Below are 22,040 nucleotides of genomic sequence, written 5' to 3' on the forward strand. Positions count from 1 at the left end.
AGGAAGATTCTGATTCCTCCTGTTCACTTTTCCCAATGTGAAAACTGAGACCTAGAGTTACAGGACCTTTCTAGGATTGCTTAGCTAGCTTGAGCCTTGAGCTCTTGTTAATTTTTTCATTGTTGGGGGGTCTTAATTTGGCTTAAGAAGTTGATACAAGTCTTTTACAACGTTGTTCTTTTTTTAAATCTAGTAATTGTTTCTGAACTTTATGGACTTGTACGTCGTAGGAAGCACTGATAAAAATGCAGCTGAGTGTCAGATGCTTTTATTACCTGGAAGCTGGGGCCCTGACTATGAATACACAGTTTACTTCCCACTCGGGCAGCAAGTTTCCTGGCATGTGTCTGCCTCTCTCCCTGCAGGCTCAGGTGCCCCTGTTCCTGTCGTCAGCATCCGGCCCTGCACTGCTGTTGCCCTCTGAATCTCCTCTGTCTTTCCTGTCTTTGGCTGTGGTCTCTTCACTACCTACCCTGTCCAATCTAAGTGAGAAAGCTGCATCACGCTTAAGGTTTTCTTTCCTTAATACCAGGCCCCACTGCCCCAGTGAGTGCCCAGATCCTGCAGAATCTGCTTCTTCACCAGTCGCCATCCCTAGCATGGACATTTGCAGTGGACATTTGTGAATGGACTGATGGATGAGCCACTGATAGTGTTCCCTTCACTGCAGGCCTTAGTATATTCATGCCTGTTAGATGTGACACTTAAGTGCTAAATATACTTTGAAGGTAATGTGGAACCCTCTCTCCATCACATGAAGCATGTCTGCTCAGGGGCATCCCTTCACCCCGCTGAAAAGCTTGAATAATTCTCCATGGTAACTGGATAAGGCAGCCCTGGATAAGGCAGCCCCACGTCCAGAGACTGGCACATGAAGTCTTTCACAGAATGCCCCCCGCCCCGCCCATACCCTTCTAGCCTCCTTTCCACCAGTGCCCATTCCTCTGCCTCAAAATTCAGTCAATGGAGAATTGTAAAAGATTAGTACATTTAGGATCTTGTCTTTTATGTAAGTGAAAATAAGGACCGAGTGTTGATGCTTTGGATTCAAGAGCCAGCTGTGCAAAATTAAAGTATCCTATTATTCACTGTGTGTAATGATGACCCTAATGAATGTGGGATAATTCACTTCCCATTGATGAGAATTCAGTCTAAAACTGTAAACTAGATGCTCATTAATTTAATGCTTTTCCTTGACACATGTTTTGTTTCTACAGCTGTTAGTGAAATGTTTTTAGGCATCTGTGCAGGTGGAAGGATGCATGCAAGCTAAATAAGTCTAGAGGACGAAGAGAATCTCTTTGGTATTCCTTATAACCATCCTTCTAAAAGGGGATCCCCAACCCCCTTCAAAAGCATGCTTCTGGAAGTCTCTTGTGGCTCAGTCTCTACCCTGTTTACTTGTCATATTGTGTCTTTATGTCTGCTTCTCACCATTTTGCCATTCTCATTTTCTAGTAGGGACGTGGGCATGGAGAGACAAAACACCGGAACTGCCAGGAGAGAGCAGAGCTTCCCCTTCCTGTGAGCAGCCCTGGGTGGTCCTACCCCCTCCCCTCACAGCTGGTTTGAGGCTGAAGCAGCTTTCCACTGCATCTGTCCACCGAGGCAGTTCTGAAGCTAGTTGGGCCTTTTAATGGCCGTAAAACAGAATTGCTGTGTGGAAGGCCTTTCAGCAATTTAGCTAAAGGCTTTAGAGGCAGTGGAGATCTTTTCACTTACGAATAGTGGCACTAATGAAACAGGTGGGGATACCTTTCCTCTAAATGCTGCCATTCTCTGTGTTCAAACACTGCAAACCCCTCATCCGGAGAAACTTTCCCACCTTGGCTGTGTTAGTCCATATTAAACCGTTTGTTAAGTTTGGGAGCGGTTCTACAGAGATCTTCTGGTTGTTTAAATGTGAATCAGATGTCAAAAAGCCTAATCTGCCCAGCTGGCAGTTTGGGCCCCAGTCTCAGAGGCTGCACATGTGCGCAAGCCGTGATTGGCAGGTGTGGTTTCAGGCAGCATGTGACAGTGCTCCGGACAGGAGAGCATGGCCTCTGCAAGTGTATTCCCAGCTGGCAGGATGTGGCTTTTATTTAACTGCAAAATGTCAGTTTATCATTACTGGGCGTGGGTAGAGAAGGAGGGACTCTGTACAATTAAGTGTTTACTCAGCAGGTGACTACAATAAGTACAGAAATGGTTAAAATGTTATGACTGTGATTTTTAAGTACAATTTCTAGGATTGTGGAGGTTACATTGTATAAATAGGATTAATACCAAATGAATTTAAAGGCTACAGAGAAGAGATTCCCTAGGAGTAACTCCCCACCCCTCCTTAAAATAACGATGTCTGTTTCTTTCCAAAGCATGTTTTCGTTTTGTTTTTGTTTTGAGGGGTTTTTCGGTGAAATTGTGAACCCTGAAACTAGTGTGTCTGGCATTTATTTCTGGAGAAGGCCCTTCTAAGTCTGTGTTTACTAAGCAATTTGAGCCACAGAAAACTTTTAGTCTCTGATAATTTGATATCTGGTGATGAGACAGTAATTACATCACTATTTCTAGGTTGGTAATCTTTGCTTTGGAAAATGTGTAATCCTCTGCTTCAGACATACTCAGTGTGGATCCATCACAGATGTGGCTGAAAGAAAAAAATCTGCAACCTCTTGCTTTTGTACATTCTTTTCTCTTGCCAAAGCTGTCTTGCCCTCTGCACTGTGATTGTATTATACTGCCCATTTGAAAAATGGCCGATAGGATCATTTTAAAATCATAATCTTTAAAAAATATTTTTACTTTAGGAACGTTTGTCTTAATTTTTGCCGATATGGTGTGTTAAGATTAGAATCTGTTAATTTCCTGACATTTATTAACTACGTGATATTTAAATTCCTTGCCTATTTTTGAATTGTATTGTTTGACTTCTGTTTTTTAATTTGTAGAATCTGTTATATGTGTTGCATATATTTTGTTTATCTTTTAACTTTGTTCATGGTGTCTCATCTCATACTTGAGTTGGGTATAATCAAATCTGGAATTTTCTCACTTAAGCTTTATAAGTTTCTTGTTTTGCATAAGAAGTGCTTATCTATCTCAAGGTTTATGTAACATATTTTTTCAGATACTTTAAGTATTTTATTCTAGGTGTTTAGATTTTTCTTGCATTAGAATTTTTTGTTTATTTAATTAATATTAATTGAGCATCTGCTGTGTGCCAGGCCCTGGGCTCTGCATGGGATGAGTTAAGACAAACATGGTCCCTGCACAAATGGAGGTTGTAGGGTCAGAGGCAGGCAATAAATAAGAAATCAAACAAATAAATATATAATATTCATTGGTGCTCAGCACTGTCAAGGAAACAAACAGTGGAGAATACTGTGAGGGCCAGGGACACATATTTAAGTTTTGATGAGTTATGAAGGCATACATAGAGTTTAGTCTTGCAAACAGAGAGGGGCAGAAGTGTAACTGTCAGCATATTCTAAGACTCTGAGGCAGGCTTGAGGGCTGGTTAGTGGGGAGTTGGAGCTTGGGATGAGATGAGGGTACAGTCAAGTCTTGTTCATGGGCCTTGGCTTTAATCTGGTTGCAATAGGAAGCTGTTGGGTGTTTGGGGAGACATTTATGCATGAAGCGGGTGTTCTGGCTTTGATATGGAAGGAAAGGATGGAAGCACAGAGACCAGTTAGAGCCTGTTGCATTGGCTTAGACCAGAAATGAAGTGGCTTAGACTAGTGTAATGGTTAATTGTATGTGTTAACTTGGCTGGGCCATTGTGCCTAGATTTGTGGTCAGGTGTTATTCTCAATGTTTCTGTGAAGGTGTTTTTGGATGAGATTAACATTTAAATCTCTAGACTTTGAGTAAAGCACATCAGGTAAAAGCTTGCATAGAACGAAAAGATTAACCCAATCCAAGCAAGAGGGAATTATCAGCAGATGGCCTTCAGACTTGAACTGCAGTCTTGGTTCTTTCTGGGGTCTCCGGCCTGCCTGTGCACACACACACACATGCAGACACACACACCAGGAATGGTGACTGGTGAAGACACACACACACACACACACACACACACACACCAGGGATCATGACTGGTGAAGACACACACACACACACACACACACACACACACACACACACACACCCACCTCTTTGGTCCACTTCTCTAGAGAACCCTGACTAATACAACTAGGATGGTGGGAGTAGAAGTACAGAGAAGCGAATATATCTTTGAGGAAGAAGCAACGGGACTCTCTCAGAGGAATAATTAATTGATTGTAATGTATGGATGATGATGCCATTCAAGGCAAAAAAGAGGAGCCGGTTTAAGGAGAAACTCAAAGAGTTTGGTTTGGGTCTTGTGTAGTCTGAGATGCCAGTGAGATATGAGGGGAAGAGTTGAGGGCACAAATTGGATACATGAATCTGGAATTCAACCATGTAGAGAGGGGCAGAAGATTTAGGACTGAGCATTGGTGAATTCATCCTTTAGACAAAGGCTGAAAAGGAGTGACCAGGAAATAGGGAGGAGAACCCAGAGAGCGTGGCATCATGGAGCATGAGAGGAGTGTGCCTAAGGCAGACTGGAGTAGCTGACAACATCACATGCACTGAGTGAGTCCAGTGAGATGCGACTTAAAGGAAGGGACTTAGATTTGACCACTTGCAGGTTGGTGGCTATGGTGGCTAAGGCAAATCTGATGGAGCAGCGGGGACAGTGTCCAGCATGGAGTGGCTGAGCCATAAGCAGGAGATGAGCAAGTGCAGAGCCCACATGTGACAGCTCTTTGGAACAGATGTGCAGTGATGGGGAGTAGCAAAACTAGGGAGGGCTTGGGGGTCATGACTTTTTAATGATGGATGATAGGAGAGCATGCTTATATGCTGATGGAGATGACCCAGTATGGTGGGATATTGATGACAAGTAGAGAGAGGGTATAAATGGTTCTTGTTTTCTATCTATTCATTGGTCAATTTTGGTACTTTTATATTTTGTTAGAAAATCTTCCATCTACTCTGGATTTTTGACAAAGTGAATAATGTTCACTTTATTTTAATCATTAGTGTCTGTAATTATATCACCTTGTCTGTTCCTAATTTTGTATATTTTTTGTTCTTCTTTTCTTGCTTAAATAGCTTTTGTTTTACTCATATTTTCAAAGAGCCAGCTTATGACTTCACTTACTTTTTCTACTGTTATTTTCTTAAGTTTTATTAATTTTACCTTGTATCTTTCCCCCTTCCTCCTACAAGAATTCTGTAAACAAAAACAATTTTATTACTATCATGTGTGAGCCAAAAGTTTCTCTCTTGCTGCCCAAGGTCTTCCCCCATGAGAGTCATCATGTGATGCTTCTGGGTTGTCCTTAGTGATTGTCCTGAGTGTCTCCACATGCCCATATTTGGAAACTGAATGTAGCGGTTCTGCCTGGGCTCTAATCTCCATTTACTTCTGTTCTGTTTTTGTTTATACAAGAGACGGTCTGGCCTGGTCATTTCTCGTCTTGGTATGTTACTGCTGAGTCACAGTTCAGTTAACCAAGAACCATGAGAATGAAAGTTCTCAACTAATCACAGACGGTAGATTCCCCAATGCAATGAAAAACTCTTCTTTATATCAGGAATATTAAAATGGAAGATTACATTTAAAATAATAATTAAATCTACCCAGTGCTTCATGGTTCTTCTTGTTGATTTCTCAGGGTGTGGTTAGCAATGAACTGAGGTTTATAACTAGCAAGTATTAGTGAAAACCCCCTGATAATTCAGTTTAATGGCTACTTTGACACATTCATCCTGATTTAAACACAGACCCTACAGGTTATATAAACGGATAAGATACAAGTTGTTTTGGTAAATTAAAATCTGTAAATATGTATGATAAACCAGCCAGCTATTTCTTAAGTATTTACATGTAGTTTTCACTCAGCTTACCAGGGCCCAGGGATTTAATTAAGCTGTACTGCAAGTTCTGTTTATGGTTGTGCCATATACACAGGTGGTGCTCAATAAATCTTTGTTGACTTGATGTTGATTGAGTGTATCTGGGGTTTACCTTCACTGTAGAAATTACCTTACATGGATGGCAACGCTAGGTGTATTCACCTGGTAGACAGTGGGTCTGTATGAAGCTTAGGTTTTGCTGGCAGTCAGCAGTTTAAGTGATTAACGAAGAGTTCTTACAATACAGGGAGCAACGATTTAAAGACAGAATTCAAGGCCTCAATATAACTGTTTACATTCTTTTTAATCTGTGTCATAATTCATTTTCAAATATTTGTAGTTGTTATTGTAACAGAAGGTATTTCTTCTTTCTTTTACTGCTACTACACCACCTTGCCCTAACAATAATGAGAGTTCAAATACAGAGTGCTTATTCTGTGTCATACAGGTAATATCTATGGCCACCAGATTCTGTGCTAATAAGCACTTTGCATATTTTTTTTTACTTTCCCTCACAACAGTTTCACAAGGTAGGGCTTTTATCATTTCCATTTTCAGATGAGGCATGTGAGGCACAGAGTGTTAAGTAACCTCCCCAGGGTCACACAGCCGGTGAGAAGTGGAGTGAAGACACGCCTGGGTCTGTCTAATGCCGGAGCTTCCTTTCATAACTACCACACTCTACTGCCTTCGTTACCCTATAGGGTACCATCTAGAACTGGAAATGACGACCAAGAAGGAAGGAAATCTCACTAAAGGGCTGGTAAAATAATCAATATAACCACCATTCAGCCAAAAATACACACGCAGTTGTTGAAATATTGGCTTTTTGATTTCTGAAATGCTGATGACTGTAAGTGAACAGCCTGTACTTCAGGCAAAGGTGATTCTTTTTTAAGTAACTGAATTCCTGAATCAGGTCTCTCCTTCTTAAAGTTCCTGTTAGACTGTTTTTAATATCACAGCAGGCCTTAGCAGAAGAACTGTTGGCATTTTCATTAGTTGTCTTACATTTGCATTTCAAACAAACATTCTGATTGTTTGCCTCATAGATTTTGCCTGGTCTAATGGCCATTAGTGATCATTATTAAATGGAACTGTCTAAAGATTTCACAAGTTTGTTTGGATTTCATAGGCCTTCTTTTTAAATAAGAAAGTCACACAGTCATCTCTAATATTAAAATACATTTAATCTAGGTATAAAACACCAATTAAAAAAACATTAAACTTGGTCTTTAAATGTGAACCCAAGGAAGAGCACTGGCCTGTGCATTTGGAGGCCTGGAACATGCGCCCTGCAATGTGGCTCCAGATAAATGTTCACTGTCTCTGAGCTTTAGGGAGAAACCTGTAAAATGGAACTGTAGATAAGTACCGTTTCCATGCAGTTCTTCAAATTCAGTATTCTGTCGAAAGGATGATCCTGGATTTGCTGGTGGTTTTTCCATGAGAGTGTTACTTAGGAGAAATGCAAAAGATATAGATAAAGATAAGCTAGAACCAGTGACAGATTTTTTCACTTAAGTAGGCCTGCAAGCCTCCTTCCACATGATGTGAAATACTCACTCATCCTGGAGACTTGGACAGTAATATACCCAGTAGTGACAATTATCCAGGAAGGAGCTGGGGATTTAAACAACTGTAGTAGTGGTACTCTATTTTTAAGTTCATGTGTCTGTGTACAGAGAATTTTGCATGCATTCATCCATCGTTTTTAAGGGCCTACCACATAGATGTTATTTTTGAGGAAATATTTTTCCCTATATATTATGGATGAATTGTATTGTCAAACTCCACCTGAAACCATTTCATTCTCATAGGCTCTCATTTGGTTAATTGCAAAATATGGTGAACTGCTAAATGTCTTTTGCTTTTAGGGGGTGGCTCAGTTGCACCATAGTTTACCAAGATATAGTTAGTAGTGCTTAACCAATAATTCAGCAAGCTAACTATGTACAATAATTCCATCCATAGTCAATTAGTTCATATTCTTTATCTACAAAAGCTGAATTCTGATGGCTCAAATCATTTTAAAGTTAAAATAGGCTTCTTAACCACAGACTTACAATAATATTAATAATAACTCACTGTGATTACAAAAATCTACTGAATGTTAACTATGTGTTAGATACTATTCTAGCACTTAACATGTGTTTAACTTATCTATTCTCACAACCCGATGAGGTAAATTCTATTGCCCTGTTTGACAGATGTAGAAACTGAGGCACAGAGATGCATGAGACAACCTGCCAGTGTCACACAACTGCTAAGTGATGTTGGTCAGGTCTCCAAAGCCCACATTCTTAACCAACTTAAAATTATCCATCTGGGGCCATAGAAGGTATTTGTTGTTGTTGTTGTTGTTAAAAAATACTTCATTGTTTTCACCAAATAACAGTGGGGTTGATTGTACCATGTTTGTAAAAATGGAAGGAAAAAGCAGATAGCATCACCCCTTTAGTAAAAAAATACTTGAGGGAATGTTGTCTTAAATATCAAAATAAGCCTGCCTTTAAGAGTTGCTTTTTTTCCTTTTGGCTTCATTTTCAGTTTTTCTCTAATGGCTTTACACCTCCTCTGTCCTACAGAAGTGAAAGCCCTCCTTGGCCCATTCTGACTCATAGTTACCTGTCAGTTCTGTTCTCAGTGGAGACAGCTTTCCTGGAACCCTCCCCTCCTTCGCTACACTTGAGCCTGCTCTCCAGGTCTGCTCACAGCCGGGGTCCTGCTGGCTCTGTGTCTTTCCCATTAGAGGCTTTCCCAAGTGTCTGATGATATTTGGATGTCTGTTCACAGGGAGGGCCAGCTGGAGTCTGGGAGTGGGGAAGGGTGGGACTCAAGAAGCCTGGGCCTAGGTGTAGGATGATTGAATTGGGGCAAGGCAGGGTCTTCTGGGGATGCGTCTCCTGATGTTCTGCAGTGGTGGGAAGTACACAGCATATCATCTGTGAAGTCTTTTTGACAACATCTTTAACCAGAATCTGATTATTGAGAAACAGCTAGACAAATCCAGATCATGGAGCATTTTGCCAGATACCTGTCCTGGTCTATTCAAAAATGTCTATAACGAAAGACCAAAATTAAATAAAAATAAAAGGCAGGGAAGTTGCCCTTTATTAAAAGAGATTAAAGAGGTAGAACAACCAAATGCAGTGTGTCATCATCCCTTGGATCCTGAATTTTTCAAAAAAAAATGCTGTTAAAGTACATTTTTAAAACAATTTGGAAAGTTGAAATATGGAGTAATTATTGCACAGAAATTAATTTATTGCATGTGATAATAGTATTGTGATTATGTAGAAAATTGCCGAAAGATCTAGGGGTGACCAGCCTGGCCAACATGCTGAAATCCTGTCTCTACTAAAAATACAAAAATTAGCCAGGCATCACAGTGGCACATGCCAGTAATCCCAGCTACTCGGGAGGCTGAGGCATGAGAATTGTTTGAACCCAGGAAATGGAGGTTGCAGTGAGCCAAAATCGCACCACCTCACTCCAGCCTGGGTGACAAAGCGAGACTCTGTCAAAAATCTAGGGGTGAAGTATCGTAATGTCTGCAACTTAATGTGAATTAGTTCAGCCAAAAAAGGTATGTTTTTTGCAAATATACATATCTTTTTCTCTCTCCACACACATACTAGTGTGTGTGTGTGTATGTGTGATGTATGTATATAGATGTCTTCTGTATCTGTAGACTTTTTTTCTGGGAACTATTTGATTTATTAGGAAAACATTAATTTCTCAGAGTTGGACAGTGAAGGACAAAGCAGTGATTAAAAATGCAGTGAAACAATGAAAACATGATGTTTATGAGGCCATTTATTAGCCTGATAATTCATTAACCAAAGATTTATTGAGTACCTGCTAAGTCTGCCCTTACTGTGCCAGGTGCTCCTGAGCAAGATAGATCTCAGTCCTCATCTTGGTCAACTCTGCAGCCCAATACAAGTACAAGTAATTAGGGCTGTTGTTTTGGAAAGGGATTATGGCTATATATACAGGAGGTCTCACCCTACTCTAAATTAGAGTGGAGAAAATCGGTGACTTTTCAGCTGAGTCTCTCACCCATAAAAAGATTAGGATTTAACTGTTAAAGGGTGAGTGGATAGAAGGGGGATAGAGAAAATGACAAATGAAGGAGAAACAGCCAGTACAAAGGCCCTGCTTTAGCAAGAAAAAATAATGGCAGTTCCCTGCCTCTGGGAGGGGTCAGGAAGGGAGATCTGAGCAGTAAGCAGGGCTGAGCTCCTGGGAGGACCTGCCAGCCCAAATATCAGGCAGGCGTTAGAGGGCTTGTTCAACAGGGGCCGATTGATGGGAACGAATATCCATTTTTGAACAGTCACATTGGTGATTGCTTTGATGTTATAGAGATGATTAAAGATCTCAAAGTTGGTGAATACTTGGAGATCAGTTAGAAGCTATTGTCCAGGCAAGGTGATGTGATTTAGACTGAGTTGTTTTAGACCGAATTGGTGGCAGCAAAACTAAAGAGTAGGTGACAGCTTAGAGCGATATTCATATAGTAGGTTAATGTGGATGCTTGGATCAGTCCTTAGGTTGTCTTGATGTGGCAGCTAAGAGAGCCGGAAAAGGCTGGGGCCACTCTGAGCTTCTGACTTGAAGAAATGGAAGGATAATGTGAATTTGGAGGAGGACCATGGTCTTTTTCTTGGAGGGAGTAGAACAGGGGAGAAGATGACTGCGGTTTGCGGTATGATGAATTTGAGGCATCTGTAAGACCTGAAGTGCTGGCATTCAGAAGGCTTAAAATGTATGGGTGTGGAGCTCGGAAGTGGGGTTTGGGTAAGATTAGGGAGTTTTTCATAAAGATGGTGTTTGGAGAAAGAGGAAATGACTCCCCTGGAAAGGACTTTTAAACTGTTAAGAAGAGGGCCTGGAAAAGAGGTGGGAGTCTATGAGTTAGGGTCTGGAGGGTGGGAAGAGAATCTGAAAGTGCTTTATTAATCCCAGCACTTTGAGACGCCAAGGTGGGTGGATCATGAGGTTAGATCGAGACCATCGTGGCTAACATGGTGAAACCCTGTCTCTACTAAAAATACAAAAAAGTAGCCAGGCGTGGTGGCACGAGCCTGTAGTCCCAGCTACTTGGGAGGCTGAGGCAGGAGAATCGATTGACATGGGAGGCGGAGGGTGCAGTGAGCCGAGACCATGCCACTGCACCGCAGCCTGGGCGACAGAGCGAGACTCCCTGTCAAAAAAAAAAAAAAAAAAGAAAGAAAGTGCTTTAAAACCAGGTAGTGGGTAGCAGACTCAGGCTGCGAGAGGTCAGGAAGAGAGGACTGAGAAGCCTGCTAGCTTTGCCAGTGCAAGGGTCATGGGGACCCTGTGGGGTGCTCTTTGACTAGAACATGGAGCGCTGGAGAAGTTACGGGTACATGCTACCGTGAGTGGACTGTGAGGTGGGAGGCAGTGAAGACATGGAGACGGCAAGCCAGGAATGCATGCAATTTGGGAACAGAAGATCAAAGAGTGATACTGGTAGTATAGTGGAGTCAAGGAAGGATTTACTCATATATATTTTTTAATGTGAACGAGTCTTGCTTAAGTGAGCCTATGGGGTCATGAGCCTGTAGGGGAGGGGGAAGATTGAAAATTCAGCAGGGAAGAGTTGATTGAGCTGGATCCTAGAGAAGGCAGGAGTGACCTGAGCTTAGCTAGGACTGGACTGAAGAAGCATGAAATCCTCTTTTTTGTAATAAGGTTGTCGGGGCGTGGGGTTAAGGGGAAGCTTGGAAGCTTAGATAAAGGCAGTAATTCTATAGAAAGTTAAAATGAATGTTTGAATAGCAAAACTATTTGGTAGTTTTGAAAGTAAATAAAATGTTTTGCTGTCAGATAGTGTTTATGTGGAGCTGAAGACTTGGATGCCCCTTTCAAGAGCACAGCACCATTGCAAGGGGCTGCTGCAAGGACCTCTGATCGCTTTGAGGGCCCTTGTGCTCAGGGTTGCCTCCGTCACACACACCTGACCCTGCACTGGGTGCTGGATGTTGGAGATAGGAAGTAATTGGGAGAAGGAGGGGAGCAATTAACTAAATACAGCTGAAATAAAAGGCTGCTCTAAGTATCATGGGTATCTAAGAGGGTAATTGGAGAGTTGGATTTTTTTTTCCTGTGGACTAATCAGTAACCATTATTTTGATGCATGAAAAGAACTACAGATAACCTACCAAATAGCAGTTAGCTTTCAAACCGGCGCTCCCAGGAGGAAGTGTGGCAACTATTCAGAAGTTCACTGTCTTTTGCAAAGGCTGAGTACTGAAGTGACACACTTCATTTACTAGAGTATTTGCAGTAGGAAGGTGACCTAATTAGAACAAATGGTAACTTCAGGAGCTTTCTCATCTTCTGATTACAGGGTGGTGCTTCAGATTACTTCCCTGTACTTGATCAAAAGAGATGTGTTGTGACTTGTTAGTAGAATTAATCAGAAAAACACAAAAGTTGTATTAGAATGTGGGTCTGCATTTCTCTCTTCCATTTCCCTTTCAAGAAAAATTTTAAGTTATTCTTAATTGACAAAAGTATCTCTTCTACCTGTCCCAACTTTACAACATTCTCCTTCACCAAATGGATTATACTTTGTAAACGTTTTAAGAGGTTCTTTCCAGTTTAACCTTAGTGTTTTGGTCATACGAAGCGCTCCAGTAAGTTGTCATTTCAGAGTTCAGTAAATGACTCTTAAAAATGTGTTATTTCTATTTCCTATATTCCATTAAAAGCCACTTTGTTTTTCTAATGGTTCTACATTCCTAGAATACACAATCAGAGTGGTTTCCCTTCAGATGTTTTAAAATAACATAAAAATCCTGGACTTTATCACCAGCCCGTGCAGTATTCTATGGCTTTTTTCTTTCCTCCTTGATCGTTTTTTTTGTTTGTTTGTTTCCTGCTGTTGAGTATTTTATCAATCTAATACCAATTTTCCTCTTGGTTTATGGCTCTTATACACTGACTGTTAACCTTTGATATGGAACTCTGTCAAGTATTTTCTGAATTCCAAGATCACTGCCACTCCTTTGATTAAACTTGTCTGTATTATCCTCAGAGGGATTTGCTGCATGTTATGTGAGAATGACTTGCCATTCCTGAAAGCATGTTGGCTATGCCTAATCAAAATGTGCTCAACAAGTTATCAAATAAAGGTTCTTAGTTTTCAGTGATTACATGGGTATTCAATTGTAATTCTGCAGAGAAATCCTGGAGAGGTGGTTTAAATTAATAACAAAAATTACCACCCCAGAGCAGAGTGAACATACGACTTTAAGATTCATGAATGGTATCTTTTCTCCTCACCCTTAGACACATGCTAAGATTACTAGATTACTAGTATTAATAAATACTGTACTTTGTACATTGACCACAAAGCTGGGAGAGAAAAAAAATAACTGAATAATCTCTATATAAACCTTAATGTTCCTGTCATTGTCATCATATCAAAATCAGAACAGCTTCTGCTATTGACTGCTGTGTTCTAGTCACTATGCTAATAATTTTATATATATTATTTAATTGCTCCAACAGATATTTTTTGATCACCTACTATGTACCAGATACTATGGTAGCTACTGAGGATATTATACTCACTACCCACAAGGGATTTATAATTTAATAGGAGACTCCAGCAAGAAAATTTGAAGTCCCACTAGAACATGATATTATTGGGGTATATTAGGAACAGGAGCCAACTTTCTAGCATGTTCATTTTCCTTTAGCAAATTGTATTTACATAGAAATGAGACTTACATAGTGTGGATAAAGCACAATTCAGCTTTAACATCCCCTAGACCTACTCAGGGGAAGCAGATAGGGAGATTGCTAGGAAAAGAGGGCTGGTAAGGGTTACAGAGCCCCTCACTCCAGGTAGGATTCAGCACCAGCTAAAGGCCAAAAGGGATAGAAACTGTAAAGACAGCCGAGGCTTTTCTTGTCTGGCCAGAAGGTAAAGAGTGCCTGCATCCACAGGGTTCACCAGCAGAGAGCAGGAACTCTGAGCAGGATGGTACCTCATTATCTTTGGCTGTCCTAGGGACATGGCCATCATGCCTTCTCTCAGGACAGACTGTGGACCTTTATCCAAATGACAGGCACGTTGGAGGTTGTCAGGTATTCAGGCTGGGACTCAGAAGGCAAACATAAAACTCTAATCTTTTCCAGACATATAAGTTGTAAAAGCCAGACATCTCTTGCATGTCAGACACTGCATTGGTGCCTACATTCAAAGTGCTGTGTTATCAAGGTGCATCAGCCAGCTTTATAGCCAGAGCTTTAACAGCTTAGGAGTTGTCTGGTGAGCAAAGAAAGAGTCATTCTTGAGTGCTTGCCATGATGAGGGCAGGCGCTAATGGGGAAGGAATTGTCTCAAGAGCTCCTACTAAAGTCATTGACCATAGCATGCAGGTGCTATGGAAGTGCCCAGGGTGGCAGTCTAACTAGTTTCAGGGAGACAGAGAGGACTTTCCAGAAGAGATGTCATCTAAGACCTGAAAAATAAATTTGGATGGAGGAGTGTGAGGAGGAGATGGGAAATGACTGTTCAGACAGGCACAGCAGAATCTGCTCTAAGAACTAAAAGTATTTCTATTTCACTGGAAGGTGTAGGAGAATGGGGGTCCTGCAATACGATTGCATTTGCCTTTTTTCCTTGTGTTGACATTTGCACTAATGATGCAAAAGCAGTGGTGGGTAAAACTGCTGGCACTTTAGCATGAATCAATGCAGTGGCTCCAAACCGTAGTCATTTTATTCTTCATTGCCACAAAGTATCTGCAGTGAAAAAAATGCGGTTTCATTTGTAGAAGCAATAACATTATTTTTATTAAATCTCCACCCTTGAGTACTCACGAGTTTTTATTATGCATGATGAAATGGGAAGTACATAGATAGAACTTTTGTCACATACCAAAGCATGATGGTTATCTCTAAGAAAAGCACTTGTGCAGTTGTTTTACTTGCAAGCTGAACTCACCACTTTCATAGAAAACCATTTTTACCTAAAAGAATGACATACAAATATGGTTATTCAGACTTGGGTATTTGGCAACCATTTTCTATAGGGAAATTACAGGAAAATTTTGTTACCAGCGTTAAAATTTAAGCTTTCAAGCAAAAATTAGGATTTTGGAAAACTTGTATCTGCTACCAAGACTTGACAGTTCCGAATACTTAATATTTTTCTGATGAAGTTGGTGGTGATATTAATAAATGTGATATTTTGATAAGTATAATGAAATATGTCAACATTTGTAAGACCTGCATAACTCAGTGAATTAATATTTCCCAAATGATCAATGCATGATGTTACAGAGTAGTACATAGTTAAAAGATTAATTCAAAGTATAAATTACACCAATGGATTTTAACATCACAGAGTAAGAAAAGCTCATTGATGTAGTTTCAGACTCCACATTGCAACTGACCTTTAAGAAGTGACCCCCACTTGCTGAGTTTGGTGTAGTACCACAGCAGCGTCTGCCATTTTCTGAAAAGGCTATTAAAAATTACCCCTTTTTCCAATTATATATGTACGTAAAGGAAGATTTTCTTCATATACTTTCAACCCAATCGATGTGTTGCAACAGACTCAGTGCAGAAGCAGATATGAGAATTGAGTCAGACATTAGAGAGATTTGTAAAAATGTAAAACAACATCACTCTTCCAGTAAATTGTTTTCATTTTGGAAAATAGGTTTTTTTAATAAAATATTTCGTTTCGTGGTAGTATGTATTGTGGTTACTATTGTTTTTTGTAAGCGAATAAATGAATAAAAATTTTTAATTTTAATTTATAATATGGTAAATGCCCACAGATATATGAACAAAAGCTTTTGGGGATTTTCCAGTCATTTTTAGAGAGCGTAAAGAAGTCTTGAGACTAACGCATTTGAGAACCAATGATTTGAATATTTGAAACTGAAAAGCATTTAATAAGGGAATTAGTTGCTTGCCAAGCCATTTGAAGGGCTGGAGGACCAATACCTGGGAAGGCCCTCACTAACTCTTAGGTTTGCCACTGGTTTTCAAAGAACTGGGAAATTGCTAGCGCAGCAGGGTCAGGAACTACCGGAAATCCTGGGTAATTTGTACCAGGTGAAAGGAGATAAAGAGTTGAAGTTAAACCCAGGATTCATGATTGGATCTTGGACTGGAGGAAATGCAAATGATACAAGGCATTACTGGGGAAATCAGGGAAATTTGAATGTGGGTGTATATTAGACATTGTTATATTAATGTCAAATTTCTTTAGTGTGATAATGGTACTGTGGTTATGTAGGGTAAATTTTGCCTGGTTCTTAGAAGCATGCCAAAGTATTTAGGAGTGAAATGTCACATTTCAAATTGGAAAAATGAAAAAAAAAATGTATGTTGATGAGAGGGGTGCGGAGGAGGAAGAAGAGGGAAAGAGATCAATCAGTGGATACCGTCTGCAATTGGAACTTGTGCTGTTAAGAATTAATAGTAATTAACAAAAGCAACTGCCACAAGAGTTGAAAGTGGTTTTCTTTGGGATGAGGATTGGGAAGTCAGTGTTGAAGAAGGGGCAGGTCAGTCAGTGGCTTCTGTGTTTTATTGTAAGCCTTTTAGAATGATTTTGGTTTTTTTTTTCAACTATGTACTTGTATTTCTTAAGTTAAAAATTTAAAAATCAGAGGGAAAATCCTAGAGACGAATAGGGAGGGCTTGATGAACTGCAGAAACAAAAATTGTGGAATTACCAAGTGAACAGGAGTTTGTGATCCCATTAGTTCATATTTAAGTTTTCCAGACATAAAGATGTGATGAGACCCAGAAAATGCCCTTGGGAATAGGTGAATAGATTGAAAGTCTCTGCAATTAAGGAGGTCAGAGAACGAAAAGGCTAAGGTTCCATTTGGCCACCACATGTGTTGAAGTTTCCCACAATAATGGCATGATTTGAAGTGCTAGGCAGGCAGTGCTTGTGGTCAGCCTTCAGTCTGGGTCCCTGTGGTCGGTAAGTTGAGGGGGATGGGACTCAGCTATTTCTGTCTGACCTATGGCTGAACATCCTCAGAGTTTTCCCTTGACATAAATGAAAAGAGAATCCTCTTTTCTCTAAATAACTAAAAATAACTTTTGAATAACTTTTGCTGTTCCTTTTGGTGGTAGGTATTGCTCCCACCCTTGGTCTTAAGTAACTACCAAGAGCATTTGGGTGCAGCTCACACATTCTGGGCATATTGTATATGCAAGATTTCTAAGCCATCCCAAAGCTGTTTTAGCCCACCGGTGGTACTTTGTCTTGCTACGCTGTCAACTGAGAAGTGCCCATAAGGACAGATAAAATCTCATCTGTGGTCATTTGCTCCATCACCGCTGTCGAGTGCTTTGATCCCTTGAGTCAATGCTGCCAGTGCTGAAGCAACTTTAGCCAGTTACTGTGAATGCCCCAATTGCACAGTTGCTGGCTGGCTCAGGCCACCCTGAAGGTCAGTATGGAGTCACAAGATGATTGTTTTCTTCTGGCTGGTGTACAGACCTCTGAGTTGAGATGTCACAGAATTGTTGTGGCCTGTCACCTTCTGTGAAGCCTTCCCTGGGTTACCCCCTCTACTCCCACTCCCCTCCCCCATCATGTACTAGCTGAGTCAATGCTCACAGGGTGCTCAGTGTGCACCTCTTTATGCAGTATCTCACATGTTGTATAGTTATGTATTTTTAGGTATCTTTTTCAACCTTGTTGGGATAGAGAATGTGAATGATGCCTGTATCTTCAGCTCTAGTCATAGTACTTGTCATCAAGTGCAAAATATATATTTTTGGGGTGGATAGATGGGTGAATATAAATAAGATGGACATTAGACTTACATCAAAGTTTTAGAGAAATTTCATTATAAAAGTATTAAACAAATGTGTGTTATTTTTGTATTGTTATTTACAGCTGATAAGGTTGCCAGATGGCTGAATTCCAAGTCGCGGGTGGTGTGGAGATGCTATTTAAAAGGCTCTTTTTTTTTTACTTTTTGGTATATCTAGGCAATCCATCTCTTCTTTTTTTAAGAGGAAAAATACATGTGACCAAAACTCAAGATCCATACAGACGCATGCATGTTGGCTCTCCCCCAGGAATAGAAGTGTGATTTTGAGGACCATTGAAGTAGAAGACCCAAAGTCAAATAGCTGACTGAGACCTTCATTTAGTCAGCACATTGTATCAAGAGCCTCTTATGTGCTGGGAATAGTCCTGGTGGTTGCTATTTGGGGCAGAAAAAATTAGAGAACCAGTTGGAGTAGATGTCACCAAAGAAGAGCAAGACAGTGAAAATAGCTGGGGGAAAAATAGGACAGAGACCCCGTTTTCTTAGGACATTAGTATGTCTCCAAAGCCAGCTTGGGGAACTGTGTCTGAAGTCTACAAAACAATCCATTCTCTTACTTCATTAGGTATTGAGCATAGCTGGTTTTTCACATTCTACCCTACGTTGCTTTGCTTTTCACAGATACTACTGCGCTGTGTTTTATTTTATTATTTTGGAAAGTGGCACTATTTCCCCCTGAACTCTCCTGCCAGGGCTGACTTTCAGTTGATCACTGAGCCTTAGCCTCTGCTCCTTAAGAAGCCCTGATGTCGTTGCCATGTGTCTTAGGCATCCCCTCTTCTTTTCCCTGCCTCCCTGGGATTGGGGGGAGAGAGGATCTGTGCCTGGGACCATGGCCTGACCTGGCCCAGCTCCTGCAGTGGAGTTGAAGACAAAGTATGAGGCTTTCTGAGGACAACTGAAGCTCCTCAATGCTGTCTTATTGTTCTCCTTTTGTGGCATGAGGATTCTGACTTTGGGATGTTTGATCACAGTCCTGCCTGTGGCAGCTGCACTGCCAAGCTCGTGTAGCAAGTGTCTGAGTCAATCATGCAGGGCGTTAAGACTCTTCATAACTCTTCAGTCTTCTGTCAGCAGCTCCTTTCCTACAAGTATCCTGGAGGCTGGGCCAGGACAGGGGATGTGTTCCAGTGGCCAGTCTGGGTGTGGACCAGAGGCTGAGCACACACCTGCCCCACAAGAGAGGGGAAGCTTGAGCCATGGCTGAGACATCAAACTAAAGCCAATGGCTAGACTCTCCAGAGTTGCAGGGATGAAAAGCCAGGCTGTAGAGTGGGGTCACGAGGAGGGTCTTAGTCCACACGTGCAGTTCGTGTGCCCTTTTCAGGAGCCCTGGCTTAGAAGTGGATGGCAGGGGCCCTTTCCTAGACCTGCAGCTTGGCAGTCATTGCCCTTCAGTCTTCTTATGGACTCAAGCCCATCTTTAAAATTATTCCTAAAACTAGAAAGTGACTGCAGGTAAACTGTCTGGAGTATCACGTTCTGAAGAATAGGAACTCTGGCACTGGGAGACATCACTTCTGGTGGTTACCTGGATGGAAATGGAAACTGTCAGGGTAATGATATCTTTTCTCCTCCAACATGTGTGGATGAAGTTACAGTTTTTATCATCATGAATTACTTTTATTTCTGTTTTGCCTCTTACTTTTTGGGCCCAGGCAGAAGCTTTGCACAGTGGAGGCAGAAGGAGATCCAGAAGGGAATTAGCTGATTGGATACCCAGAGAGGAGTACACTTTAAAAGCAGAGTCCAAGTTAGCAGGCGAGAGGAGTGACTAGCCCACAGGGCAGCTTAGGGCAGTTCCTGGAGACAGAAAGAGGGAGAGGGACAAAGGCCAGATTGCTGAGAATAAGTAGAAAAAGAGCAAAGCCTGAAGCAGCATGTGGACTGTTGTCATTCAGCAGTTTGACAGTTTCATTGTAAAGAGAAGAATGGTGGTGGTGGTGTTTTAGGATGGAGGAAGCAAAAATGTGTTTGGGGGTGAGGTTAATAAGCCAGTGGTAGGGAGGCAGGCATTGAAGTAGCAAGAGAGGGGCTCAGAGTGAGCAATATTGGTGAGGGGTAGGAAGATGCCAGTAAAAAACTTAAGATTATTTATTTAGTTGGATTTCTCCTGAAGGATATATCAGTTTTCTGAATGACAAATATGTGCCTTGCACAGTGGTTTTATTTTGGTTTTTGGTTTTGGGTTTTTTTGAGACAGGGTCTCACTCTGTCACCCAGGCTGGAGTGCAGTGGCGTGATCTCGGCTCGCTGCAACCTCCGCCTCCCAGGTTCAGGTGATTCTCCCACCTCAGCCTCTCAAGTAGCTGGAACTACAGGCATGCGACACTATGCCCAACTAATTTTTGTATTTTTTGGTAGGGACGGGGTTTCACCGTGTTGGCCAGGATGGTCTCGAACTCCAGACCTCAATGGATCCGCCCACCTTGGCCTCCCAAAGTGCTGGGATTACAGGTGTGAGCCACTGCGCCTGGCCACAGTGGTTGTTTTTAAAGACTCATTTACAAGATTTGTCCTAATGTCACTACAGTATAATTCCCATCTTGGAGGGGTGAGCATCTGCAGCTGTGAGGCACAGAGGGAAGGTTGATGGGGGAGGGGAGAGAGGGTAGAGCCCCTGGAAGCTATGCAGTGGCCTTACAGGATGATTTGGGATAGGAAATGATGCTACTTTTTTGCTCTGAATCCATTTTTGGATGTTGGTGGTATTCACAGGTTGGATTGATTGGGTTTAGGAAGTATTGTTTAGAATATCTACAAATGATAATGTGTATGATCATTGCTTTGGTAGAACATCCTTAATTTTAATCTCTCTTCCTCTCCCAGCCCCTCTCCTGAGTATGTCCAGAATTTTATCAAGTGGTTTCTTCTTGGTTCTCTTAGTAGGAAGAGGGCACAGAACCCTGTGTCTTGGAGGGGACCCAGCTTGGAGTCAGCTTCTGCTGTATGTCAGGGGCAGCCTTGGAGCAGGCTGGAGGGCCCAGCAACCTCTAGAGTTTGGAAGCTGGATGTTCAGCCTTTTTGGGTGGAATACTGTATAGGTGTTTTTCATTTGTAAGATATACATACAATGAGGGGCATAGGGTAGCATTTTGAAGTTTGATGAGTGGGGAAAGGCTGATTGGAAGGGTAGATAGATAGGCTAAGACAGCTCATAGCCTCCGGGATTCCACAGCCTCGGGAGAAATGACCAAGGAGATAAACAGTGCAGTGCAGCATTGCCAGCGTTGACAGAGGAGCATTGCGGACCAGCAGGTGACTGCATAGGCTTCATACTCTCCTGAATAGCCTTTTAAATTTTAATTTAGATATTATGGGCATCTTAGCAAATTTCACTTAATAGTCACACATGTTGGTCAGTAAGTAATAACTGCTTTTTTTGCTTAGCTCTAAGATGTTGGCATATGTCACTCATGAATCACACAATTGAGCTTCTCTTATCTATGTGACAGTCTCACTTCTAATAGAGATAACATCAGAATAGATTTCTATCAGCCTTATTTGAGACTCAGCAATTGAAACTTCTCTTTCCTATCTTCAGAAGTGTATTTGCTCTCTAGGAAATAATTCTGTAGTGATAGGTTTTAATGTGTCTTGGAGGCTACACCCTTTTCATGGGCACCAAGGGGTTTGGACATTTAAGGATAGACAACCCTATACTGTTGCTGTAGCGAAACATAACACACAGGAAAGCCCGCCGGGGGAGCATGCTGCTGAATGCATTGTGAGGGAATAGACTTTGATGTTCTTTTCACATGATTTGGGGTTTCCTCAATAGGTAGGTAGAAGGAAATAATACTTGTCTTTTAGATTTAGGACTTACTTATAGCTTTTTCAAAACATCATTAGTTCATGAACCAAGACTAAAAGACATGATTAGAAACAAAATAACTTAAATCAATTGTTGGAAATTCATATTTGGTGTTCAACTGTAATACTATTTTAATTTAACTCTACATTTTGGTAGCAAAACACATGAGTTAAGGAGCATTTTAATTTCAAAATTAACTGAGTCTTGAGAATCAGAATGAGTCTTGAAGTATAGCCCAGTTTTGCAAATCAGATTTTTAATTGAACTCACTATTGTTTAATTATGCTTGTCAGGTCTTGTCACTGTCACCAGCGGTGTGGAATTTAGGTACCTAATGCTGTGAGCTTTAGTCAGTAGCTTAAAACAGTGTCACTGCAAAGTAATGACACTACAGTGGGTTATAGAAATTATGCAGTTTTATTTTGTAGTCACAT

At 41.1% G+C, this 22,040-nt stretch overlaps 1 protein-coding gene across 7 annotated transcripts in view, besides 1 other annotated feature; it reads left to right on the forward strand.

The window, feature by feature from the left end:
- PELI2 (pellino E3 ubiquitin protein ligase family member 2) overlaps window positions 1–22,040 on the forward strand; it is a 183,114-nt gene that overhangs the window by 75,471 nt on the left and 85,603 nt on the right. Inside the window, exon 1 of one of the 7 annotated variants that reach the window (XM_047431612.1) lies at window positions 1–22,040. This exon is cut by the window's left edge and continues 12,518 nt beyond it; it is cut by the window's right edge and continues 9,448 nt beyond it. The exons of the other annotated variants lie outside the window; for them this stretch is intronic. The gene's annotated coding sequence lies outside the window, so the exon portion shown is untranslated. 7 annotated transcript variants of the gene reach the window in all.
- Window positions 5,311–5,500: an enhancer, noted in NCBI's record as "active region_8437". NCBI's record gives its function as "activates an Ori minimal core promoter by ATAC-STARR-seq in GM12878 lymphoblastoid cells {active_cell/tissue: GM12878}" and the evidence as "EXISTENCE:reporter gene assay evidence [ECO:0000049][PMID:35858748]".

The sequence above is a fragment of the Homo sapiens genome, chromosome 14, assembly GCF_000001405.40.
Source record: "Homo sapiens chromosome 14, GRCh38.p14 Primary Assembly".
NCBI classification, from domain to species: Eukaryota; Metazoa; Chordata; class Mammalia; order Primates; family Hominidae; genus Homo; species Homo sapiens.